The 27,710-nt window shown below is 41.8% G+C and overlaps 1 protein-coding gene across 3 annotated transcripts in view, besides 2 other annotated features; it reads left to right on the top strand.

Annotated features, from left to right (window-relative positions):
• OPCML (opioid binding protein/cell adhesion molecule like) overlaps positions 1-27,710 on the top strand; it is a 1,117,521-nt gene that overhangs the window by 29,209 nt on the left and 1,060,602 nt on the right. The window lies entirely within an intron of this gene.
• Positions 4,775-5,275: an enhancer, noted in NCBI's record as "H3K27ac hESC enhancer chr11:133367913-133368413 (GRCh37/hg19 assembly coordinates)". NCBI's record gives its function as "activates a minimal SCP1, AML or CMV promoter by ChIP-STARR-seq in primed H9 embryonic stem cells {active_cell/tissue: H9 hESC(primed)}" and the evidence as "EXISTENCE:reporter gene assay evidence [ECO:0000049][PMID:30033119]".
• Positions 5,276-5,776: an enhancer, noted in NCBI's record as "H3K27ac hESC enhancer chr11:133367412-133367912 (GRCh37/hg19 assembly coordinates)". NCBI's record gives its function as "activates a minimal SCP1, AML or CMV promoter by ChIP-STARR-seq in primed H9 embryonic stem cells {active_cell/tissue: H9 hESC(primed)}" and the evidence as "EXISTENCE:reporter gene assay evidence [ECO:0000049][PMID:30033119]".

Here is a 27,710-nt window from a genome sequence, read left to right as displayed (position 1 = left end):
TGGGGGCTGTAAGGTAGTGATGGTTCCACAGAGCTCATAGGGCCAGGGAAACAACATGAGTTTAGGGATCCCACAGATCTGAGTTTCAAACCTAACTCTGCTACTTAAAGGTGACTTCTAGGCCAGCACATTTTTCTGAAACTCACTTTCTTTATGCAAAAAGGACGTGAGAAAACCATCACGGAGCTTAGAATATAGATCCTTTTTGCATTCCCAGCCCTCAAATCCCCTGTGTCCTTTCAAATTGTGGCATTCCTGCCCCATCAATATTAATAAGGAGAAGGGAAGTTTAGTTCAGGCTAGGCTGTGCATCTTGTACTGAACAACTTAGCTGGGAACTGTCCTGATTTTAAAACTGAAAGCCCTGTATCCTGAGAGCTCTCAGTCCCAGGAAAACCAGGATGGCTGGCCCTCCTCAGTCCCATCCAGAAGGCCTTCTTCTGTCATAGGTGAGGGGCTCAAGTGTTGCCATTACCATCTCAGGAATTCTGGCCACACATTTAAACATAGGCAACGGCACACATCTCCTGAGAAGCAGAATAGTGGGACCTGTCCCCAGGCTAGGAAGCAAGTGGCCCAGAACTGTGGTACCTGAGGACTTGGACTGAAAATCAAAGGATCTGGCTACAACATTCTCAGATTCCTTTCTTCCCTGAAAATCGTGATCATTTAGTTGAGCCTTGGAAGGGAGAAGAAATATTTGGTTTCTTTTTTCCTGTACAGGTATATGTTTAGAGGCTCTGCCTGTGGATTCATGCCACATCCCACTCAGAGCGTCCCTCCACCCAGCTCACTCCAGCTCTGGTCATGACCTCAGCACTGCTCCAGTTGGGGCGAGGGAGCGGCCCCTCCTCCTTTCCCAGGGAGCTTGTCAGCCGGTTTGGACGAGGACGCTGGGGTGTACGAGAACAGCATGGACTGCGTCACCCTGCCTCGGCCACTGGCCAGCCACCCTGCCACCCTGCCTCTGTCTGTCCCTTTTGCAGGGTGGGGGCAGGAGAGGGGGTGGGCTCTAAGCCGCTGCTGTATGGCGTCATTTCTCACTTTGTAGAGAACACACACCTGAGGAGAGCATACCAGAGTTCACGTGGTGCTCCTCAGTCAGCTGTTGAGACAGGGCTCAAGTCTGGGCACCAGGTCTCTCGGGGCAAAGTTGTGCCAGCTTCTTTTCTGCCACGCTTCTGCCAAAGGCTGACTTGTCCTCCACAGTCAGAGATGCACTTTGGGCATTGGAGGACTGTGGGAGGGTGAACCATGGAAGGAAAGGGGGGTGAGAGGAATGGCTGGGTGGGGGAATGGGTAGGAGGCAGCAGCGGTCGTGGAAGGGGCGGCTGTGGAGGAGATGCTTTGAAGGAGGGAAAGGCAGGAATGAGCACAGCCTCGAGGCATGTTGGTGGGCAGAAAGGCTGCTGGATTAGGACGGAGGGGAGGGAGGGGCAGAAGTGAGGAGCCCGGACTGGTGAGGAGGGAGAGCTGCTCAGAGGCCTGGAGTGCCCTGTGGAGGAGGTTATGTGACTCACGTCGAAGATGGCCAGTGCACCCTGGGCGGGGTGGGGGGTCTTGGTCACTACCTGGCTCAGGTCGTTTGAAGCCCCTGCACTCCCCCATGAAGCCAGCTCCCCTCACAGTAACCTGCAGGCAGAGGGGATGGACTGACTTCCCCCAAGTAGTTCCTTATCAAGCCAATTGGGGTGGGGGAAGGTGTAGCTTTATTTGATGTATGATCCCAGAGTTAACCCCATGGGACTATGTCTTCTTTTTCTCATATAACAAAAGAGCTTTCAGGAAGTCAGTTATCTGATTTAAAATATTATTTCAAATGTTTGTTGGGTACCTACTTCATTTAAGTTTTGGAAGGGATGGCAGACCAATATAAAAGGGACATGTAATTAATTGGTTTTGACCATGAAAGCATAAACCAGGGCTATAATTAATTAATTTTGCCAGTGTGATTAGGTCATGACGTGTGTTTGGATTTCACTAGCCGCACTGTACCGTGGGGGGGTCCCTAGGAAGTCTCCAATGAAGGGGAACGTCATCCCTGGAGGGAGCACACAGTTTGCGTTGCCTGTGGACAGCGTATAGAAGCTGGACGGGTGAATCTGGCGCTTGTGTGTCTCCATGTTCTGTTTGCGGTGATCCCTTATTACGGGCAAGGAGACAACACTGCACAGTGTGGGTGGTGGGAGCAGGGGGAGATTGGAGCTCCCCAGCATTCTCTGTCCCAGCAGAATGGCTAGTGGTGCTGGAGCTGCCACAGGTTTTTGTTTTTTCTTTTCTGCTAGGACTGTCTCAGCTCCAAGCCTCCTGCCCCACGCCCCCATCTGCCCTCCCCAGGAGCCCTGTACTGTGCACTCCCCCTCTGCAAGCTTCCTAATTGCAAGGAGTCATCTCTCCTCCCTACTCAGACTCCTCCCTCTCTACTTTCCTGCCTTCTTTCTCAGTTCAGTTAAGTCCTAGTCTCTGAGTTTGTTCTCAAAATTCGAAGGTTTCTATTTTCACACCTCAGTAATTGGTGCTATCCGTTGAGAGTAACTCTGGGAACTCCAGCCTGCTGGGGTCAGGAAGAACTGACTTGAATTAAGGGAGCAGAAATTGGCTAGATGCAGGAGGAGGACTCGAGCCGGGTAATTCTCCCCGTGCAGGAGCTGCCATGGGAGCTGGCTAGTGGGCACCTCGCCTTGTCTCCTGGTCCCTTAATGGGAGCCCTGCAGGGGAGGTGGTGGGAAGGGAGCGAGGCTTCCCTCTTGGCCTTACTCTCAGCCCAGGGCATGACACTGGAGACTCGAGAAATATACGCAGTGCCAGGAGAAGGCATTATGTCAGTGAAATGACATTGGAGTATTTAAATATGCAAAACACCCTCTGTTTTTAATAGCATAATGGCCTGGAGAGAAGCTGACAGAAGCCAGGATTCTCTTGGTGACAGGAGTTAATCCATCCACTGTTCACGCCAGGGTGGCAGACACAGCCCCACTGACCTGGGTCTCAGTGAGGTAGGTCCGGCTCCTGGTTCCTGCTCACAGATGCTGTGTGCTAGTGCTGAGATGAGAGGAAATAGTGATTTTTGCTATTTCTCCTTTGATGTTTGGAATTGAATTAATCCTTTGATTTAAAAAAGTTAGCCAGGTGCGGTGGCTCACGCCTGTAAACCCAGCACTTTGGGAGGCTGAGGTGGATGGATCATGAGGTCAGGAGTTCAAGACCAGCCTGGCCAAGATGGTGAAACCCCGTCTCTACTAAAAATACAAAAATTAGCTGGGTGTGGTGGCACATGCCTGTAATCCCAGCTACTTGGGAGGCTGAGGCAGGAGAATTGCTTGAACCCGGGGGGCGGAGGTTGCAGTGAGCCGAGATCTCACCATTGCACTCCAGCCTGGGCAACAGAGTGAGACTCCCTTTCAAAAAAAAAAAAAAATATATATATATATATGTGTATGTATATATATATACATACACATATATATGTGTGTATATATATATACACACACATATATATATGTGTATATATATATATATATTTATTTTTCTGCTGGTGGTGTTGGTCATTTGTTTTTGATCTCCTGGAAGGTTTTCCAATTATTATTATTTTAAAAAAAACCCCAACAAACCTCTTCTACTCCCAGGCAGCAGGTGGGTGACCCTTCTTCCAGGCTGTGAGATATTCTCTCCCAAATCCATCAGAGAGTCTGCCTCCAGGGTAGAGATGAACTACGAGTGCAGCCCACAAAGAGCCTCAAAATCTCAAAGCATGGGCTTCCCTTGGGACCAAGGAAAGGTCAGAAGAGTGAGCACGGTGGCAAAGGGGTTAAGGTTCCATTTCTCCCCCACAGGAGGGGAGGCCAGGGATCATTAGCATATACACTGATGCATGTATTTGTTTCCCGATTGGAAATGTAACAGATGTTAACACTATTTGGATAGCAGGAGAAAATATTAAACAAAGCTAGGCACCATTTTTCTTTCCTATTGGGAATGCGATGGAGATGTTGTGTAAGGAAACTTGCTTTCATGCCCACTAGTTCCTCTGACCCTGCCTGCCCCTCGCCCGAAATCCCTGGTTCCCAAGACTTTTTCCCTCACTCTCCACTTTCCATATGGGCTGGTTTGCTGCCAGGTCAGCAAAAACGTTGACTTCTGGAGGGAGCTGGACGGCTTTTCAGCTTGTCCTCAGTGGACAGGGAGCATTGTGTCACCGTCCTTCAGTGACTGCAGTGGCATAAATACCATGGTGGTTCCAGGTCAAGATCCAACGCTGGCCCTGTAGCTTCCAGGCTTGGGATTTGTGGACTTGAACATGTAGGAGAACCTCATGTGCCTCATTGTAGTCATCTGTACAGTGGTAACAATCTTACCACATATCACACAGGGTTCTTGTAAACATAAAGCCATCATTCCATCTTAGAGCCTGTTGGGTTCCATAACTCCATCCATGGTAGCTGTTATTCTTACATCTAAAGTGACCACAGATCACTCCTCTGGCCTGCCTTGTTTTATAAGATTCATTTCTCATGCTTAAATCCTTTTTGCAGTTCTCCTTTGGGACCTCCCTGGTTTTCATATCCTTCCTATTAAGTGGAGCATAAAATCAGATGTGCGACGCTACTGGACTTTGGTTCCAATAAGGCCTGCATCTATGTGCCTACATTTGTCTTGCAGCTGAGACCGCACTTGTTCTTTGAGTAACTGTTAAGCTTTAGCCAGATGGGTGGGGAGAAGGACCCACTATATTTTCAAGTACAGTTGTCTTAGGCCCTGGGAGGCCCAGATGGTGCGAGGAAGGCTGGAGAGAAGGGGCCCTGCGCGATATTGTGCCCGGTTTCCTGGGATTGCTCTAGTTCTGACTCTCTTTTCTCTGACTCTTCTGGGTCTCGTCTGTGTCCTTTCACTGCCTCAGTCTCTCTGTCTCCTCTTCTGTCTCCCTCTGTCTCTGGCCCTTCCACATTTGGCTCTGGCATTGTCTCTACTTCATGTCTTGACCCAGCAAAGGTAGAATTTCAGGCCTTCCTTGCCAGCTTTGGAAGGGAGTAAAGCAGAAAACGCAGGGAAGCCAGGAGAGGTGCTCCTGGGAGAGACCTGGGCTCACTCTGGACTCTGAACTGGACCCCTTCAGAGCTCCTGTACACACTCAGAGGTGTTGGAATGAAGGGAAGCCTTGGAGCAACCGCCGCTTGCCCGGCACCCTCTCCTCTCCTCTCCGGTGGTGCAGAGATGCTGCCTTGGCCCCCGGCCCTCACACAGCCTGGCCTGTAATTTATACAAGTGCAGCTGATGTTCCCTTTTAAATTGACAAAAGCAGAGGATGGAGCCTGGGAAGCCTTCTGACCCTGGTGCCCTGGTCCGTGAAACTGACAGGCAGTGTGCAGTGCACTGTCTCTCGATTCACTTGCAGTGGGGAGATGCTGGTTAATTTGCCGGGACTCAGAGGTGACCCAGGTTTAATAAAGAGGATTAATGGATTTGAGCTAAAGGTCTTGGCTGTTTCAAGCAGATAGCCTCTTCCTTCTAAGACAGTTTGCAGCCTTTTGCTGAGTTCCTTCTCTTTGGGGAAATAGCACAAACTGCCTATTTAAAGGGGCCTTCCTTTTCCTTTCCTGCTTGACACTAGCTGGACTGAGCTGGCTGTGTGCTCTGTACGCATACTCAAAGCCAGAGGCATGAGGGCCCAAAGGAGAAATGCTGTTAACAAGAGCGACGTGACCAAAATCTCACTTTCACACTGTGCTGGTGGGAGCTTCCACCTGTCCAGAAAGCATCGTAGTAACAAGAATCAAAGCTCCTAAAATATTAGAAGTCAGGAGATTAGTTATTAAGTGAATCGGGGGGGACCAGAGAAAGGAAACGCTCAATGAAAGGCAATCCAAAAAATGAAGCAAGAAGTGAAGGGAGAAATATTCAAGGAAATAGATAGCTTAAAGAAAAAACTATCAAAAATTCAGGAAACTTTGGACACACTTTTAGAAATGCAAAATGCTCTGGAAACTCTCAACAATAGAATTGAACAAGTAGAAGAAAGAAATTCAGAGCTTGAAGAAAAGGCCTTCAAATTAACCCAATCCAACAATGACAAAGAAAAAAGAATAAGAAAATATGAACAAAGACTCCAAGAAGTTTGGGATTATGTTAAACGACCAAACATAAGAATAATTGGTGAAAAAGCATTAGACAAAATCCAGCATCCCTTTATGATTAAAACTCTCAGCAAAATCGGCATACAAGGGACACACTTTAATGTAATAAAAGCCATCTATGACAGACGCACAGCCAACATAATACTGAATGGGGAAAAGTTGAAAGCATTACCTCTGAGAACGGGAACAAGACAGGGATGCCCACGCTCACCACTCCTCTTCAATATAGTACTGGAAGTCCTAGCAAGAGAAATCAGACAAGGGAAAGAAATAAAGGCCATCCAAATTGGTAAAGAGGAAGTCAAACTGTCCCTGTTTGCTGACAATATAATCGTTTACCTTGAAAACCCTAAGGACTCCTCCAGAAAGCTCCTAGAACTGATAAAAGAATTCAGCAAAGTTTCTGGATACAAGTTTAATGTACACAAATCAGTAGCTCTTCTATATACCAACAGTGACCAAGTGGAGAATCAAATTAAGAACTCAACCCCTTCTTACAATAGCTGCAAAAGCTATAAAATACTTAGGAATATACCTAACAAAAGAATCAAAAGACTTCTACAAGGAAAACTACAAAACAATGCTGAAAGAAATCATAGATGACACAAACAAATGGAAACACATCCCACGCTCATGGATGGGTAGAACCAACATTGTGAAAATGACCATACTGTCAAAAGCAATCTACAAATGCAACACATCCCCATCAAAATACCACCATCCTTCTTCACAGAGTTAGAGAAAACAATTCTAAAATTCATATGGAACCAAAAAATAACCTGCATAGCCAAAGCAAGATTAAGCAAGAAGGACAAATCTGGAGGCGTCACACTACCTGATTTCAAACTGTACTATTAGGCCATAGTCAGCAAAACAGTGTGGTACTGGTATAAAAATAGGCACATAGACCAATGGAACAGAATAGGGAACCCAGAATTAAACCCAAATACTTATAGCCAACTAATCTTTGACAAAGCAAACAAAAACATAAAGTGGGAAAAGACACCCTTTTCCACAAATGATGCTGGGATAATTGGCTAGCCACATGTAGGAGAATGAAACTAGATCCTCATCTCTCACATTATACAAAAGTCAACTCAAGGTGGATTAAGGACTTAAGCCTAAGATGTGAAACTATAAAAATTCTAGAAGATAACGTTGGTAAAACCCTTCCAGACATTGGCTTAGGCAAGGTTTTCATGACCAAGAACCCAAAAGCAAATGCAATAAAAACAATGATAAATAGCTGGGACCTAATTAAACAAAAGCGCTTTTGCAGGGCAAAAGGAACAGTCAGCAGAGTTAACAGACAACCCACAGAGGGGGAGAAAATCTTCACAATCTATACATCTTACAAAGGACTAATATCCAGAATCTACAACAAAGTCAAACAAATCAGTAAGAAAAAAAAAATCCCATCAAAAGGTGGGTTAAGGATACGAATAGACAATTCTCAAAAGAAGATATACAAATGGCCAACAGACATATGAAAAAATGCTCAATATCACTAATGGTCAAAGAAATGCAAATCAGAACCACAATGCGATACCACCTTACTTTTGCAAGAATGGCCATAATAAAAAAATCAAAAAACGGTAGATGCTGGTGTGGATGCGGTGATCAGGGAACGCTTCTCCACTGCTGGTGGGAAAGTAAACTAAAACAGCCACTATGGAAAACAGTGTGGAGATTCCTTAAAGAACTAAAAGTAGAACTACCATTAGATCCAGCAATCCCACTACTGGGTATCTACCCAGAGGAAAAGAAGTCATTATTCGAATAATATACTTGCATACGCATGTTTATAGCAGTGCAATTCACAATTGCAAAATCGTGGAACCAACCCAAATACCAATCAATCAATGAGTGGATAAAGAAACTGTGGTATATATACAATGGAATACTACTCAGCCATAAAAAGGAATGAATTAATGGCATTTGCAGTGACCTGAATGAGACTGGAGACTATTATTCTAAGTGAAGTAACTCAGGAATGGAAAACCAAACATTGTATGTTCTCACAGATATAAAGGAGCTAAGCTATGAGGATGCAAAGGCATAAGAATGATACAATGAACTTCGGTGACTTGGGGGAAAGAGTGGCAGGGGGCAAGGGATAAAAGACTACAAATATGGTACAGCATATACTGCTTGGGTGATGCACCAAACTCTCACAAATCACCACTAAAGAAGTTACTCATGTAACCAAATACCACCTGTACCCCAATAACTTATGGAAAAATAAAATTGAAAAAACTTTTATTTTATTTTATTTTATTATTTTATTATTATTATACTTTAAGTTTTAGGGTACATGTGCACAATGTGCAGGTTAGTTACATATGTATACATGTGCCATGTTGGTGTGCTGCACCCATTAACTCGTCATTTAGCATTAGGTATATCTCCCAATGCTATCCCTCCCCCGTCCCCCCGCCCCACAACAGTCCCCAGAGTGTGATGTTCCCCTTCCTGTGTCCATGTGTTCTCATTGTTCAATTCCCACCTATGAGTGAGAACATGCAGTGTTTGGCTTTTTGTTCTTGCTATAGTTTACTGAGAATGATGGTTTCCAGCTTCATCCATGTCCCTACAAAGGACATGAACTCATCATTTTTTATGGCTGCATAGTATTCCATGGTGTATATGTGCCACATTTTCTTAATCCAGTCTATCATTGTTGGACATTTGGCTTGGTTCCAAGTCTTTGCTATTGTGAATAGTGCCGCAATAAACATACGTGTGCTTGTGTCTTTATAGCAGCATGATTTATAGTCCTTTGGGTATATACCCAGTAATGGGATGGCTGGGTCAAATGGTATTTCTAGTTCTAGATCCCTGAGGAATCGCCACACTGACTTCCACAATGGTTGAACTAGTTTACAGTCCCACCAACAGTGTAAAAGTGTTCCTATTTCTCCACATCCTGTCCAGCACCTGTTGTTTCCTGACTTTTTAATGATCGCCATTCTAAGTGGTGTGAGATGGTATCTCATTGTGGTTTTGATTTGCATTTCTCTGATGGCCAGTGATGGTGAGCATTTTTTTATGTGTTTTTTTGGCTGCATAAATGTCTTCTTTTGAGAATGAGAAGTGTCTGTTCATGTCCTTTGCCCACTTTTTGATGGGGTTGTGTGTTTTTTTTTTTTGTAAATTTGTTTGAGTTCATTGTTGATTCTGGATATTGGCCCTTTGTCAGATGAGTAGGATGTGAAAATTTTCTCCCATTTTGTGGGTTGCCTGTTCACTCTGATGGTAGTTTCTTTCGCTGTGCAGAAGCTCTTTAGTTTAATTAGATCCCATATGTCAATTTTAAAGACTTAAACGTTAGACCTAAAACCATAAAAACCCTAGAAGAAAACCTAGGCATTACCATTCAGGACATAGGCATGGGCAGGGACTTCATGTCTAAAACATTAAAAAACTCTTAAAATATTATGCATACTCTTTGACACAACAATTTTATTTTTATGATTTTATCTTATGTAGTAATTAAGATGACTGCAATGATGTCCACTAAATGCATGCTTATTTTTTTTTTAAATGGAGACAAAGAGATGTATAACAATAGAGAAATAGGTTATACTGCCTTTATGCAGTGGAATAATGGTTATTAAGAAAAGATGTTGTAGAAGTGTCTTATTGGTTTGAAATATATTCATGGGTTATAAAATGCTATGTTTAAACTCATTTCTGTAAAAAAAAGTATGCATGTACACATGGGGGAAGGCTATGCACCCATGTGACTGAACGAGATTCGAGGTGACTTTATTTTGGTGCCTTGTGTATTTATCCTCACTTTCTACTTATGTCTACAGTTGTATGTCATTTGTGTAATAATGGCAGCAAGAGCCCTTCATGGATCTCCCCAAAGGGTGCTGGGTGGCCCCTGAGGCCTGCCCGGCGTGCAAGGCTCCAGGCTTAAGCAGGCTGGCTTCCTGTGCTCTTACCATCTTCTCTCAGAAGGGTACAGGCCAGAGGCTCCCAGCCAGGATGGGGGTGGCCTTCTGGGGGGCAAGGTCATGAGCTCCTCAATCCTGCGCTTGTCATCACTGGTCCCAGGTGGTGCATTGGAGAGTTTTGAGGGGAGAGGAGCCCTCAGTTTGAGATGCAGATACTGGGCTCCGAAGGACTGACAGGTGGTCCTTCCCAAAGGGAGCAGAGCCTAACTGAACCCTTCTCCTTGCCTCGTGGTGGTGCCTGATGCTTCTTATGGCATATTCTCCAGTGTGCCTTTCTATCCTGTTTTAAATGACTCCCACAGGGATGGTGCTGCTGTATCCCCAAGGAGACTGCTTCTGCATCTAATAGACTATTCTGCCATGTAATAGACCTCGCAGTTAGGACATTCCCTCAAGTTTCCATTAGCCACTAAGTGCTTATAAATTTCCCGTTAATATTTATTCAGAAATTTTACTGGGCACTGAATTTAAACTTTTTTTTTTTTTTGGCAGTAATTGCCTGCTTAGCTCTTATCTGTCTCCCTGATATTAACATCAGGATTACTTTTTATTTTCCCCTTTGATCGTTGGGCATCATTGTCTCCAACTTAATTCTTCTGCAACCCTGGGACGTGTTTTAGTCTCTAATGACTTATCTCTCCATTCATATGGCCATGTCTTACTTTGTTATTAAAAAAACCCCAGCAACTTCTGAGCAGCCTTTTTACCCATGATTTTAGCCTCAAATCTTCATGACGTTTGGGTTGTTCCTCCCTTTGCTTTTATATAAGGCTGTTATCAAGGGTAGAAAAAGTGTGGGTGAAAAGCTGATTTGGAATGAGAGTTTCGTCTCCTAGGGGATTAAGTACTAAAAGAAAAAAAGGCCAAAAGCATCCATATGAGGCCAGCATTCAGTAGGAAACACATGTTTGTGAAATGGATCCTCTCCCAGAGAAGCAGGACCCAGTGCGGTGGGGAGGCAGGTTGATTCCTAGCTCTGCTGTAGCTCTCCATGGTCCCCACTCCCCCTCTTCCCTTCCTGTCCACTCAGTCTACACCTTTGGCCAGGCTACGTTTTTCCTTAGAGCAGGACAGAGCACTGGCGAGGTTTGCCTGCTGAAAAAGCCAGCATATGCAGTCATGATGAGAGCTTCCCATGTGTTCCTTCTGTGGATGAGACCCCATGTATGATTCTAGGCACTGATTTGAGCGTGCTTTCCTCATCTCCTCTCCTGCCTACCCCAGGCTATTCTAAGTTTTAATCAAGGTGTGACACTTGCTGTGGGAGCCCAGGATAGAAAGGCCTCGTGAGTGAGAATACAAGAGTTCTGCTATTTCTGGGTCTTGCCTGATTGGAGTTCCTGATCCTTCTTTCACTTTTCCTGACCTCATGTTCCCCCTGGCATTTCGGCTCTGCTAACTGAATGGTAAATGCTCAGTGCTTCCCTTTCTTGATGTGCTGGAAGCGACTCTCTCTCCAAGGACCTGTGGCCAGAAAAGGGGTTCTGGTCTATAGAAAGGGATCAACGAGAAGATTTCAAACCTCATCATGCTGCTGCAGCCTGCCTCAGTCACATTCTGCCTCTGGGCGATTTTCTGGGATTCCTCGCATAGCTTATGGGTACTTTTTACCCATGTTTCCCCTTTCCCAGTGCTCCCTGATGTCCTTAGTGGAAATAGAAAGCAGGAATTCCTTAGACAAGGATCTGCAGAGAGGGTGGGGGAAATATTGTTTATGAGCAGGAGCCAAACTATAACCACACAATAAGAATGTTCCCAGCCCAGCCTCTTCTCCTCTCAAGAGGACCGTTACAGTGAAATCGATCAAATGAACTGTTTTTCTCCCCTCACCTAGTGTGTCGTGGTGCCTTCCAAAAATGAGTGGAAAGAGACATTTTTCAAGGCTGTGTGATGCTGAGGGGAAGGTGTAAAGTGACTAGGAGGCCTCAACATAGGTGGGACGTGAGCCCTGGCAAGCCCAGCAAGGGAGTGTCTGGGCTGACTTCTGCACACCCATTGATTGCCTCCTCACTTCTCTTCCTGCCTGAGGTTGTCGACCTGGGCATCATCCGACACTGCACAGACCTTACCCAGTTCATTGACCTTTGATCAACTTTCCCATAGAATTTCACACTGCTGACTTCTCATTCACTCACTCATTCATTCGATAAATGTTTAATAAACACCTACTCACTCTCTGTCAGGCAGTGTTCTAGGTACAGGGGATATAGCAGCAAGCAAGACACTTAGCAATTCTGCCTTCATGCAGCTTCCATTCTAGTGAGAAGAGATTGGCAGTTAAAGAATAAACTCTATGGTATAAGGGGATAAGAGTTATGGAACAGCATAACGTTGACGGGGGCCTAGGGTGAAGGAAGATGACATTTTAAAGATGTAAAGGGGATGAGATAGCAAGCCATGAGGACAGCCATTTGGGATGTAGCCTCTCTGCTGATGTAGGATTATGGCTGGTATATTGGAAGGAGGCCTCAATCATCAAAAAAAGCAAGAAAGGAGGAGAGACTGCCATGGGAGCTTTTATTCTTGTTGAGTTGGAAAGTCATTGGAAGACCATTGTCCACAGAGGAGTGGCATGGTCTCACTTATATCTCCTGGGCTGACCCGGGCTTCCATGTTGAGAGGAGGTGGCTTATTTGGAAGCATATTTGCCTTTTCTTGGGATTCTCACTTTCATTGGCTTTAGTAGCTCACTCCTGACCCTCGTTTTACTTCACTGACCTTGCCTGCCATCCTGGGCCTCCACATGCTTCACTGATGGCTGTATCAATTTATGTCTTACAGAATATGAGATTCAAAAGATGAAAAATTAGGAATATACAATGTTCAAGTATATCTGCATGTAAAATACAAAGAACTCACAGTGAAATATTGAACTACAAAAAAAGCAGGTCATTTGGAGATTTTTCATCTTTAATATGTAGGTCGGGATGGAAATCTCAGAAAGGTGGGTTCCTGTTGAGAATTACAACCTTATGCCACTTTGTTTTTATTCTCACCCTCAGAACTTTTCTCTTGCATGCGTCCTGGGCACAGTGGTGTGCAGGAAACAACAAGCTCTCTGAAGGAGTAAAACAAACCCTGATATGTAGCATTTGCTGATTTTAGGGTATATATCCTTAGCCATAGCTGATTTTAAGCTCCTCATGTATTTGGTATGAGGTACCTAAATCTTCACTTTTATTTACGATAATGGTCTCCAGTTCCATGCATGTTGCTGCAAAAGACATTTCATTTTTTTATGACTGAGTAGTATTCCATGGTGTGTGCATGTGTGCATGTAGGATGTATATGTATGTATAAATATGTATGTGTGTGTATATGTATATGTGTGTGCATGTATAAAAAAATATATATATATATATATGTATATACACACACACACACATTTTCCTCATTTCTCTGTTGATGGACACTTAGCTTGATTCCATAACTTTGCTATTGTAAATAGTGCTGTAATAAACATATGAGTGTGGGTATCTTTTTGAAATAATGATTTATTTCCCTTTGGGTAGATAGCCAGTAGTGGGGTTGATGGATTGAATGGTAGTTCTATTTTGTATTAATTTACATTCCGCCAACAGTGTATAAGCATTTTTTAGTCTCTGCATCCTCACTAACACCTGTTGTTTTTTGACTTTTTAATAATAGTCATTCTGACTGGTGTAAGATAGCATCTTATTGTGTTTTAATGTACATTTCTCTGATTAGTGATGTTCAGCACTTTTAATATGTTTGCTGGCCATTTATACGTCTTCCTTTGAAAAATGTCTGTTTATGTCCTTTGTCCACTTTTAAATGGGGTTATTTGTTTTTTTATTTGTTGAGTTGTTTGAGTTCCTTGTAGATTCTGGATTTAGCCCTTTGTCAGATGCATAGTTTACAGTTTTTTTTTTTAAACCGTTCTTTAGGTGGTCTGTTGACTTTGTTGATTGTTTCTTTTGCTGTGCAGAAGCTTTTAGTTTAATTAAGTCCCATTTATCTATTTTTGGCTTTGCTGAAGTTGCTTTTGGGAACTTGGTCATAAATTCTTTGCCTAGGCCAATGTCCAGAAAAGTTTTTCTTAGGCTTTCTTCTAGGATTTTTATAGTTCCAGGTCTTACCTTTAGGTCTTTAATCCATCTTGAGTTTTTGCATGTGGTGAGAGATAGGGGTCCAGTTTCATTCTTCTGCATATGGGTATCCAATTTTCCCAACACCATTTAGTGAAGAGGGTGTCCTTTCCCCAGTGCACATTTTTGTTGATCCTGTCAAAAACCAGCTGGTTGCAGGTACATGGCTTTTGGGGGTGGGGGGTGGGTTCTCTCTTCTGTCCCATTGATCTATGTGTGTATTTTTATGTCAGTACAATGCAGCTTTGGTTACCATAGCCTTGAAGTATAATTTGAAGTCATGTAGTGTGATGCTTCCAGCTTTGTTCTTTTGCTTGGGATTGCTGTGGCTATTCTGGTTTTTATTTTGTCCCATATAAGATTTAGCATTGTTTTTTATAATTCTGCGAAAAATGACATTGGTAATTTGATAAAGATTGCATTGAATCTGTAGATTGCTTTGGTCAGTAATGATTCTTCCAATCTATAAGCATGGAATTTTTTCCATTTATTAGTGTCATCTATGATTTATTCCATCATAATTTTGTAGGTATCTTTCACCTTCTTGGTTACATATATTCCTAGATATTTTATTTTCTTTAGCTGTTGTAAATGGGGTTGCATTCTTGATTTAGCCCTTGGTTAGATCATCATTGGTGTATAGAAACTACTGATTCTGTTAATTTTGTATCCTGAAACTTTATGAAATTTGTTTATCTAATATAAGAGATTTTTGGTGGTATCTAGAGTTTTCTAGATATAAGATCATATCATCATTGAACAAGGATAATGTGACTTCTTCTTTTCCAATTTGGATGCCTTTTATTTTTTTCTCTTGCCTGATTGTTCTGGCAAGGACTTCCAGTACTATGGAGAATAGAAATGATAAAAGTGGGTATCTTTGTCTTGTTCCATTTCTTAGAGGGAATGCTTTCAACTTTTCTGTTAAGTAAGATGTTGGCTGTGAGTTTGTTGTATATGTCCTTTATTATGTTGAGGTGTGTTCCTTCTATGTCTACTTTGTTGAGGATGTTTATCATGAATGGATGCTGAATTTTACCCTTTTCTGCATCTATTGAAATGATAATATGATTTTTATCCTTTTTTGTTTATGCGATATATCACATTTATTGATTTGTATATGTTTAACCATCCTTGCATCCCTGGGATGAATCCCACCTGATGATGGTGCATTATCTTTTTGATGTGCTGTTGGATTCAGTTTGCTACAGAATGACTTCTTATTGATAAGTTAAGCACCAACATCACTGAGATTCTGATTGGGATTACTTTAAATTTACACACACGCACACACACACACACACACACACACACAAACACAGAGTATCTCTGCAATATTGAGATTTCCCAATCAGATCACACATTCAATCAATAAATATCTATTTAGGATCTATTGCTAGAAACTATCCTTGCCTCTGAGATAGACAAGATTGCCAAAGTTCCTGCTGTTATTAGACTTAAACATTGTGCAGAGTGGTGTGGGGAGGACTCATGATAAGCAGATGAATAAAAGAAAACAAAGGGACCATTTCAGATAATGTGTGCCCTATGAAGAGAAAAACACCAGGTTGATCAAATAGAACATAATTGAGAGGAAGTCTGTTTGGATGGTATATTCAGGAAATCTTCTCAGAGACAGTTATGTTTTAGCTGAGACCTGATCACAAGGAGTCAGCTAAGGACAAATTTGAGAGAAGAGCATTTTAGACAGAGGGAACAGCCAGGACACAAGCCCTAAGGTGGGAACTACACTGTCTATTTCAAAAGATCACAAAAGACCAGTGGGGAGCACGCTGCAAGATGAAGTATTTTCTCCCTGGTCAGAGACAGACAAGGATTAGATCATGTAAAGTCTCAGGGGTCATGATAAAAGATTTGGATATTATTCTGAATACAGTAAGAAGCCTTTGGAGGGTTTTGAGTATAAGAGAATGATTTGATTTGCAATTTACCAGCTTATTCTAGTACCTTACAAGAATAGATTATGTGTGTGTTGAGAGAGGAAAGAGAGGAGGTAGGAAGTTATTTAGAAAACTGTTGATGTAATCAGAATGAACAATGATGGGGGCTCTGGAATATGGCAGTATCAGAGGAGTTGAGGGATGCTAATGGATTTGGCATATGTTTTGGAAATAGAGCCAGAGAGTTTTTGATGCATTGGTTATGTAGGGGGTGGAGGGGAAGAGGGAGACAGATAGAGAGGGAAAGGAGAGATAGAGAGGGAAAGAGAGAGAGAGAAGAGAGAAGGGGGGGAGAGAGCGAGAGATAGAGAGAGAGAGAGAGCAAGCCAGAGGGAACAAGACTGCAAAGAATAAGGAATGGCCGCATACTCTGTGTGTACCCTAAAGTACCCTCCGAGTAGAGACGGCAAGAGGCAAGTGGAATTACAAGTCCTGAGTTCAAAGTAGTGTGTGCTAGTGTAGATATTTGAGAATCATTAGTATCTTGTTATCTGTTAAAGCCATCGGTTTGGATAAGATTCTCAGAGAAGAGGCTGCTAAGAGAGCTCTGAGGAAATCCCACATAGATGTCGAGGAAAGGAAGACTCAGCAGAGGAGGCTGTGAAGGAGCAAGCATTGGAATAGGAAGAAAAACCTGATAGTGTAATTCTGAGGAAGAGAAAAAAAAAGAAGTGTTTAAAAAGAGGTGGCTACTGTGTAGGAAGTTGTTGGTAGTCAAATTTGATGAGGGAAGAAGACAGATTCTTCAGCCCTTTGGAACTGGCAATGCAAAAGTAATTGGTGACCTTCACCAGAGTCATTACAAAGACATGTTGAGTTTGGAAACTTGACTGGAGTTGAGGAAAGAATGAAACAGAGGAAACAGAAATACAGTCAATTTTTGTCATTTGTGGTAATGTTCTATAAAATCACCACAAACATTCTCTTAGTGAATATGAAACCATTGCTCCTAGAGAAAATACAGGGTTAGGTTCCTGCAAGCTTCTGGTTCTTTATTGGGTTATGTGTGTTTTTGCACAAAGACTTAATTCATATATATTATTGATTCATGTACATTGAACCCAACAGCACTATAACTCATGCTTAAACAAAGATCCTCTAACACACATATTTTCTCTGTAAGGCACATTATAGCCTTCTTGCACTTATGAATACTATACAGCAATTTAGCCCTATGCCTGTGGGCCATTTTAAACAGTGAAATCACCAACAAAAAGTAAAAGAAAAAAAAACAGAAAAAACATGGCACTAAGTAGACTGTGAAACGTTGGACAAGAAAGCAGAGCACCACCTTGATTAACCTCAGCTGGGAATGTGCATGCCAGGCAACTCAAATGTGTTTACTGCTTTGCACACATCCACAAATGACCAGAAATGCTCTGTAAGTATTGATTTGTTGTTATAAATAATTTTTAGCAAGTAGGTGGATTTGCATATATGGAACCCAGAATAATGCAGATGGAATGTACCAACTCTAAGGAACTCTTTGGAGATGTTTTGCTGCAAGCTCTGATGTGGTAATGCAGGTCTTATTTCAGTTTGCTTGTAATGTTATGGGTATTTATATGAGAGGACTGATCTGGTACAGAAAGAAACTTGATGATGCAGAAAGGAAAATTGTTTACTGAGCAAAGTCTCCAATAAGATGAGAAGAATTGGAATCTAGATCACCAGTGAAAAGGGTAGCTTTTGATTACAGCAGCAAGAGTTAGTTCATCATGGGTGACTTCCCTGTTCATTCAGGACATTAAAAAAATTCCTCCATAATTTTTGTAGTTTTATTTATATAGGTTTTGTGCATTTCTTATTACATTAATTCCTAGGTATGTCACACATTTTGATGTTTTGAAAGGGTTTCCCTTATAACTGTACTTTATAACTGCTTAATGCTGGTGTAAAACAAAGCTATTGCTTTTTGTATATTTCTTTTATATCCAGTCACTTTATTGAATCCTTAGCAAGTTTTCATTTTTAAATGAAGTGTTTGTATTTTTAAAAAGATAACTATGTTGTTTTTCGATGACAATAGATGTTTCTCTTTTTCTTCTCACAGTGTTTATTTAAAACTCTAAAATAGTACTGGATATTCTTTTTTTATTCCCATGCTTAAGGAATTGCTTTCTGTGCTTCAAAATTTCATATAATATTTGCTGTTGGTTTTTGCTATGAAGATTTATGTGCTTTAGGAAATTTCCTTTTTTCCTATTTTTCTTTTTACTTTCTTTTTCGTTACATATAGTTGTTAATTTTAACAACTGTTAAGTATATAACAGTAATAATGTTGTTGAATGCCAAGAAAGTAATTTCCCTTTATATTTTAATGTAACAACTTATCATTGATAAATCTTTGATAGTTGAAAGCTTCTAGTGTCCATGACATGAACTCTACTTGGATATGGTACAATTTTTAATATGCTACTAAATTCTATTTTACTATTATTTTACAATATACACATTAGTAAAATTGGTCTAAATATTTTCCAGTTAGATTTTGTCACAGCATGGTTGTAGCCTTATAAATGAATTTGAAAAGTTTCTGCTTATTTTTTTCCTGTGGTTTTTACTATCTGTTATGTGTCCTCAGTTCTTCTTGATTTCCTTTCTTGGCTCTGTTCTTTGGCAACATATCCACTACCTACCTGTGGATTTGGCTGTCACTTCTAGGTGTGCATCTGCCAATCCCTCCTTTTTATCTCAGTTCTCTGAGTTACCAATTCGTATTTCCAACTGCTGGCTGGATTTTTTTTGAATTTAGAAACCTAGATATAGAATATTGAATATCTCATTCATGGGACATTATCATCATTGGACCACGCAGTTAAGACCTTTTTCTTGTTTTATTTATGGAGTTATTCTTTGATATCCCCATTTTCCACTGCCATCCCCCTGTAAAGAATAATTCAAACACATTTAATGTGTGCTTTTTAGGCTCTTACATCTATCTATCTATCTATCTATCTATCTACCTATCTATCTATCTATCCATCTATCATCTATCTATCAATCATCTATCTATCATCTATCTAATCTATCTATTCATCTATGAATCTATCTATCTATCTATCTATCTATCTATCTATCTATCTATCTATCTATCTAATCTGTCCATCTATTTGTCTATCTATCTATCTAGCTAGCTAGCTATCTTTCTATCTACCTATCTATATAATCTGTCTATCTATCTGTCTAATCTATCTATCTTTCATCTATGAATCTATCCATCATCTATTCATCTATAAATACATCTATCTATAAGTCTCTCTATGAATCTATCTATCCATCTATCATCTATGTATCCATCCTATCTATCTATCTATCTATCTATCTATCTATCATCTATGTATCTATCCATCTATAAATCTCTTTTTCTCTCTATGAATCTATGAATCTATCTAATCTGCCTATTTTATCTATCTATCTATCTATCTATCTATCTATCTATCTATCTATCTATCATCTATTTATCTAATCTGTCTATCTACCTAATCTATTATCTATATATCTATTTATCTATCTATAAATCTCTTTCTATCTATGAATCTATCTAATCTATCATCCATTCCTTTGTCTAGTTATCTATCTATCTAATCTATCATCTATGTATCTATGTATCTAATCTGTTTATCATCTATCTATCCATCTATAAATCTAGAAGACTGTCTCTCTTTTTCTATTTATCAATCAATCTAGCTAATCTGCCTATTATCTATCTATTTAATCTATCAATCATCTATTTATCTATGTTATCTATCATATCTATCTATTAGCTATCTATCTATCTATATCTATTATCTATCTATCTATCTATCTATCTATCTGCCTATCTATCAGCTCTAGTGCGCATTTCCAACTACAATGCTATGGATGTCCTACTCTTCACTTTCTTCAGTATTTCCTAAATTTTGCCATTCTTCCAGATACAAACTGGTATTTCATTTTTGTTTTACCTCAACATTTTTCTAATTACTAAATAATTTTCTTTTTATATATTTGTAAGGCATTTGTTTTTTCTCCTCTTAAAATTTCTCATTCAAATATTTTGCCCACATTTTTATTGAGGTTATTGTCTTTTTCCTTATATGCATTCTTTGTATATTCTAAATACTAGCCATATCAGTTTTTAGACACTTCAAATATTGTTTTCTAGTCTATTATTATCTGTTAATTCTATCATGTTCTCTGTTGAAGTGAATTTTTAATTTCAATGTGATCAAATGTATATATTTTTTGTGTAACATTTTGGGCGTTTGTTTAAGCCAACATTCTCTACCCCAGGTCATGAAGATATTCTTCTATTTTTTTTTCTGTTGAATTCTCAGTTTTACCCTCATCATTTTAATTTTTAATCTATACTGTGTCTATCTTTGCTGAGTTAAAATAGATAACAAGCTTTATTTTTCTCCATATAATAAGCTAGTTTTCATAACATCAATTTTCTTCATCCCATTTATTTATGCTGCCATCTTTATTGAATCTTAAAGCTCTGGTAGCTGATTTCAGTGGTGACAGAACAGGCTCATTTTGCTCAAGGGTGAGATGGGACAGAGGTAACAGGAGCATTCAGCAGCCTCCTCCCACTCACCCCTCACTGCCATGCCCCGGCCACCCTCCCTTCTGGTTGTGGCCACTGCCTACCCTCCCTCCCACTCAGGTGTAAGGCAGCACCCAGATCCTCCAGGGGCTTTTCACAGACATTGTTGATATTTTTGCTGTTGTAAATTTGTAAAACCCATGCTTTCCCGTATGAAACCGGTGAACCAGATATGCTAACAAGGAACACCTCGCTAGCCACCCTTAACTCCATGTTGTCTGCTGCCTCAAATGCAGGACGTCTGATTTCAAACTCCCATTTCCTCTCAGATGTTCTCTTCCCATGTCACTGATGACACCGTTGGCATCATTGTCCTCCCAAATATCTGTGACTCCTCTCACCACCATTGATCTATATTGATGAGTTGTGTGGAGTTGAAAACCCAGCTTCAGGGTTCCCTGAATTTTCAGTTACTGTGCTTTTCTGACTTCCTTGCTTCCACTTCCAAGGCTGTGCCTTAGTGACAGAGCTATCTGCTTTACTCTGATTCCGATTCCTCTAAGTGCCCAGGTTTCTGCTTTATGGAGACTGCACCACTTGGAATTTCTTTAGTACAGACTCCTTGTCATGACACTCGAAGCCCATTAGGTTTCTGACCTCAGGTTTCCTCTCTCATCTCCTAGAAATCAGACCTTTAGGTCGGTCCATTTTACTTGCCATCCCTGGAATAGAAGGGCCTCAGTGTCCCATCCCTCCTTCCTGTACTCCTCCATCCCGTTGAATAGTCAACACCTTACATTAGTTTTGTTTAAAGGTTATGAACACTGTCCTGCACATTATTTCATTTAACTTTCCCCCTTTTTTTCTGTCTCATCTCACCCTGTGTAAATTTAAACTGTTTCTCGAGGCTTAACTCAGACAGACCTCTGATATAGCACCTAGTGTAGTCATAGCCTATTTTTCATAGTGGAATAAAACCTATCAATAAACAATGGATTTCACCACTGATTTAAGATACATGATCTTTTGTGGACCTCTGCTACAAAATAATTCCCATGGATGGCCTGAATACATTTTATTTTCTCTATCTAAAATTGTAGCCACAGTTACATACATACATTTATTTATTTATTTATTTATTTATTTATTTATTTTTTTAACTGGGGAGAAGAATTATGGTACAATGGCAGAGACTTGGGCTCTAATACTGTGTCTGCCCCTGGGAAGCTGTGTGGCCATTGATCAGTAATTTCCCTTTTCTGGGCTTGACTCTTCTCTCCTGTAAAATGAGGTGATTAGATTCTTATTATTTAAGGGTCTTTTAAGCTCTAATGTTATATTTGATTGTAAACTCTTTTGGGACAGAGGCAGCCTCGTGTACTTTTGTATTTATAAGCTGTTCAATGAATGTCTCAAATTGAATTAGCTTCATGATGAAATCCTGGTCCCAAATTTGTGTTACAACTTCACAGTCATATATGGTTAATCTCGATAAAATTATTTAGCATTGGTGAGCTATTCATCTAAGTAATCTCTTCAGTTATCTTTGCCACCTATGTCTACATAGGCCTGGCCAGAGCCCCCAAGTGCCTGGGCCCCACTCAGTGTGAACAAAAGCCTTTGCATTCTTGGTGCCATGGCATGTAATTAAGTGGAAAATAATTCCAGCATGACACAGAAGTGAGACTTCATACACAAAGCAAGTAATTTAGGTCCAGATTATTCAGTCATCCCATTCAGTATTGTATCAACTACAGGCAAAGCTCTATGGTAGATGCCATTGGGCTTAAAAATACAAATGTTGCATGATCCTCTGTAAGCAGTTTATCTCCAACTTAGGAAAGTCAGATATGGATGGCACTGGAATAGATGCATAATAATACAAGACAGTTAGCTGGCACAACAAGGTTTCAGGGGAAGGAGATAGTGTTTTACAGAAAAGGGGTCAGAAAGAGTTTCATGCATGATAGGAGGTTTAATCCAGACCTGGTAGAGAATGGATAGGATTTTACAGTCAGAACAAGAGCCTGAGTGATGCTGCCTGAGGGCATAGTTCAAGTCTCAAAGAGGGAGCAGATCATAAACCAGACACTGTGGCTCTTAAGTCACGTGGCGAGCAAGTGGAAGGCAGAAGGCCCTGGACACTGGTAAGGATGGGACGAGCACACACTCACTGAACTCAGAAAAAGCAGAAGGCAGTGGGATGCCGAGGTGCAGAGCAAGGCCAAAGCCTGGTTCTACCACTCCAGGTTACATGAACAAGGACAAGGCAGGCAACCCTCCGGACCACAGTTTCCTCATCTGTCAAATAAATACAGTGATAATAGCACCTCATGAGATGTGAGAGATTCAACAGAGCCAGTTCAGGGCAAGAGATCACCAGTGAATGGATGAGCAAGCATGGGTTAGCTGTAGATGTAGGAGATCAGGACTGAGACCAAGCCATCCGATCAAGGGAAGGGAAGGGGTGGATGTGCTGGGATGCCTGCTCTAAGAAGGAAAAAGTGGGGAGCCCAGAGCACTGTGTGTCTTGGATTGGGGTCCACAGAATGAGTGTGCAGAAATTGGTTAAGTTAGGCACTGCCCCTTTTAGAAACGTTCCCCTTTTTCTTGATTTTGAGGTGACAAGCCTCCCGGGCTGGCTCCTTGGGTGGTGCTCAGAAAGCAGGTGGTATTAGCAAGGCAAGCTTAGAGATCAGTGCTCTTCGAAGGCCAGGCCAGGCCTTAGCATCGTGGGTGGAGAGGCCGGTGGTGGCTTTTCTCAAGAATGTGCACAATGGGGGTGGATTCCAAAGATATAATTAAGCCATGGGTGTCATTTGTTCGGTGGGTGTGTGTGGTCCTCTGTGGTGTGGAGCTGGTTCCCAGCATATGGGCTCCTCGAGACTGTGCGACTTGGGTGGGGCCCAAATGGGTGAGGACCCCACTCAACAGTGTGAGCAGTGGCAGGGTCAATTGTGTGACGCTTGACCTGAGTCACTGTAGGATTCCTTTGGTGTGCTGCCCTTCTTGCCTCCAAGCTCTGCAAGAAGCCCTTCAGGGCCTGTGTGCACAGCAAAGTCTGTTCTGCGAGGGCTCTTGACTGGGGCTGCATTTCTGACAGTAATGACAACACATAGGCTATGGAGCTTCCAGGTTGCCAATTTACCTGTCTTAACTCCTTTAATCTGTTCTGGTCATGACTCAGGCTGAGGTAGGGCTGAGCCCACCCCAAGAATGTTCCTTACATTTGGTGTGGTATGCTGATGTGCACTGGGACTCTACACAGAGCTGATATTGCTTGTGATGGCCATGAATGTGCCACTGTGCGTGAGAATCCTCTGGGGAATGCTTGTGGAAAATGCAGACACCTGGGCCTTAGTTTGAGTTTCTGATTCAATGGGTCTGAGGTAGGCTGAGATGCTGCATCTGTTACAGTTCCTCCAAGAGGTTCAGCTGCAGGCAGCTCATGGACCAACTGAGAAACACAGATTTGCAGAGCGCTTGCTGTGGGCCAAGAATTGTGCTAAACGCTACATAAGTCATTTTACGTATCCTTTAAAGTGCGTCCTGTTATCATCTCCATTATACAGATACAAAAAAAGAAAAGCAATGAAGCAACCCAAGGCTTAGGTAGATTAAGTGATTTGCCCAAGAGAAAAATGCTACAAAGTGATGGCCTGGGATGAAATTAGGATGGCGTGACTTGTTTCTTTATTTAACTCTGGTGCCTCAGGTGCCACAGCTCCAGGGTGAGTAGCAGGCATTCAGAATTGAAAAAAAAAAATGGTTACAGCATCAGTTCTCAAGGAATTCCAATTCTAATATTAAAGGCATAAGCGAATGTTAAATGAGGAGACATGCAATTGAAACCTCACAATAGTGTTTCACATGGAAACATGAAACAGAAAGTATCGTTTTAGTTTGTCTATAGTTTAGGTTGGTTTCAATGGCCTTTCAAAGGAAGTAGATCCTGTACTTCAATTATTTGTCTTACTCCATTTGTGTTACGTAACTTCTGGAAGAAAGATGGCTTGAAAGAAACCGATCAATTTGCAATATACAATGATTCTCTTAAGCAGTACAGGTGGTATATTTGGGGTTGGGACATGGAGGATGCTGTGAGCCATTCCTTCTCCCCATGACCCCACAAACTATGACACGATCTACACAACAGGAGCACAGATGGTCCCTGTTCTCTCAAATTCAGGTCCGAGACCCTTGGTCAGGTCACTAAAGTCTCTTACTCGGAGTCAAACCTCTTCCTCGCTAAAATGGACTGGGGAACTTCTCTGTACTGGAAGAAGGAGGAGGTGCTGGAGGGAGAGGCAGGGGAGAAGGACTAGTCTGGTAAGATTGTGATGCTGGGAGAGGCAGGCAGGAGGCCACAACAGAGGCTGATCCTTTCATCCTCCTGCCATTCCCGATGTCTCGAAGCTCAGGATGTTCTCCAGGGGTTTGGGGATTCTGTACTGCCACCCTGACGCATCTTAGCCAAAGCAGATTTGCCCCTTTTCCAATAAAGGCAAACCAAAATGAAATCTATAATTATCATTACTAATTCCACTTAATTAGTCGCAAGCCAGCAGCCAAATTGGCTTTCTCATAATTATCTGATAAGCAGTAAGCACATCTCATAGATTATAATTAACACTACTTAATTAAAATCTAATATACATACACCCTTTCCTCAAAATATATCTAATTTGGTTCACAACAGCAGCAGATAAAATCTCGTCTTTGGTTACCCCTACGTAAGTATTTCAAGTTATCACTGTCTTTTCAGTCTCTGAAGAGAACTGAGGGCAAATTGTACATAGTTTGGTTATTCTTCAGAAAGTTATAAATGTTCTCCCCAGGAGATTGAGAAAAGTCTCCAGTCCTTCCTCTCTCTTGAAGGATCTTCCCAAACTAAGGAATGCCTGGCCCGTGATGGACATGCGGCTGGTTTGTGCTTCCTGCCAAGGACATCCCAGGTCCCAGCTTAGATTTCTTTACAGTTGCGTTACTGTGGACAGTGTAGAAAAGGTCCTGTCCACCTCTACTCTAAAAGAAAAAAAACCCGCATCAAACTTCCACCAATAATCCTAGCCTAAATTTTGAAAATGAATGGGATTCAAAGCATTTCTGAAGTCCTGAATGGCTGTGATGTGCATTTTCCACCCACTGCCACCTCTAGTGCACTGAGGATCGCAGGTGTCTGATGTATTCCTGTGGGAGTGCTAACTGGGATTAGAAGCCAGGGCATTCACCGTGTTGAAAGTGAAAAGATCTATTCTTTGTGAAATTGCTAGCCACCCATTCTGCAGAGACAAGCCCAGAGAACAGGTTAAAGGGGACCAGAGATAGTTATTATTTTGCATCCTCTAAAATCTATGCTAAACAGAAGGCAAAGAGCGATGGCTACTCTTCGTGTGCTGAAGGCAGAAGAGGGCGAACAGAAAAACGTGGGGGGAAAAACAACTGTAATGGAGAAACAACCAAACTTTTGCTAAGTGTAGACATCCCCTTGATGGGCAGGGGGCACTGCTGGCTTGTAACTGACCTTCCTGTGGCAAACCTCAGGGAGGGTTGTGCGCAGTTAAGCTGTGCATTTCCCAAGGGTCCTGTTTTGTAAAAGTCAGCCCTCTGCCATTGAGTCTTATCCGCCTCTCCCCTTCACACCCAGTCTAGTGCCTGAAAATGGAGGGAAAACAATACATGGCTTCTGTATTGATGCCATAATTTATGAATGGCCAACTTATTTTTAGACAGGTTCCTGGGAGGAGGTTTTATACTCTGATTTCAGAATGTAAATGATGGCAAGGAGAGCCAGCGGGGGTGTGAAATGGGCCAAAACTACCGGCCCTCCGGGGTGCTTCTCACTGCTTGCCCTGTCTTGCCGTTCTCCTCGACACTCCTGGTATTAATCATCACCAGGACAAAGTCTGCCTTTCCTGCCAGATGATCTGCTTCAGGAATGCAAGTGTTGGGATTACTTTGTTCATTGCTGCATTGCCCACTACCTCCATAGGGTCCAACACATCACAAATGCCCAATGTATTTCTGTTGAATGAATACATGAATGAATGTCCTGTGACTTCTTTCCTACTGAAAAAAAGGCAAATTCACTACGAATGATTGCTACACAGGGAAAATATTTGAAATCTGAACTGTGCAATTGAGCCCATTTTCACTGATACTAAATTTCTCCTATGAAGTTCATTTTGGATCAGAAAAAAAAAAAACTAACAACAGAGTACAAAAAGTGTATGTAGAATTTGTCTTGGTGTTTCTTCTCTCTCTTTACTCACTTCTCTCTGTGCACCCCAATCAGGCCATTTGGGTCGGTCTACAGCAACTTTGACAGGCTTTGGGAGAGTAAGTAGATGTTGTACTGTTTGTCTACTTATAGTTCCATCAAGGGAGTAGCTGTAAGTCCCCAGAGGATGAGCCTGTATGTTGAAAATTACCTTAATGGGTTTTTGGCCCAAACGTGTTTTCCAGACATGCCTTGGTCTCCTGTTTACTTTGCCAGGTCAATTGGGTGGTGACAGCTGTGTGAATATAGGGAGAGCCCTGTCTGGGCCATGATTTTGCTGGTGGTCCTTAGAAGCTTTTGAAGCCATTTTGTCCTTCATCCTCTTTGCACTCCCAGGGAGATTTCCAAATGGATGCAGCTTGCTACTCACTAGCCATTGCCCCTGGGAGGCTCCACTGCCATCTCACCTACCATCCATTCTCCCACCAGGCAAGGACCTTTTATTTCAGTATCTTGGCTGAAAGCATTTTCATCCCGTAGGAATGATCTCAGGGGAGACACTCAGTTTATCCTGTTCTTTGACTGAAGCTGCCTCAGCCACCTAATCCGCCATCCACGCTGGGCTTTCTGTAATACGCTGGGTTTAAATAAATTATATTTTCAAAGGTTAAGACTGGATTTCAGCAGTCAACTCTCCTGCTGATGTCTCTCTTATTTTCTCAACCTAAGAAAAAGAGAGAGAGAGCTGGTAGGTTTATGAAGGAAAGAGATTGTTCCTGCAATCTCAGCTCTGTGA

The sequence above is a fragment of the Homo sapiens genome, chromosome 11, assembly GCF_000001405.40.
Source record: "Homo sapiens chromosome 11, GRCh38.p14 Primary Assembly".
Taxonomy (NCBI): Eukaryota; Metazoa; Chordata; class Mammalia; order Primates; family Hominidae; genus Homo; species Homo sapiens.
This window is presented reverse-complemented; position numbering and strand designations above follow the sequence as displayed.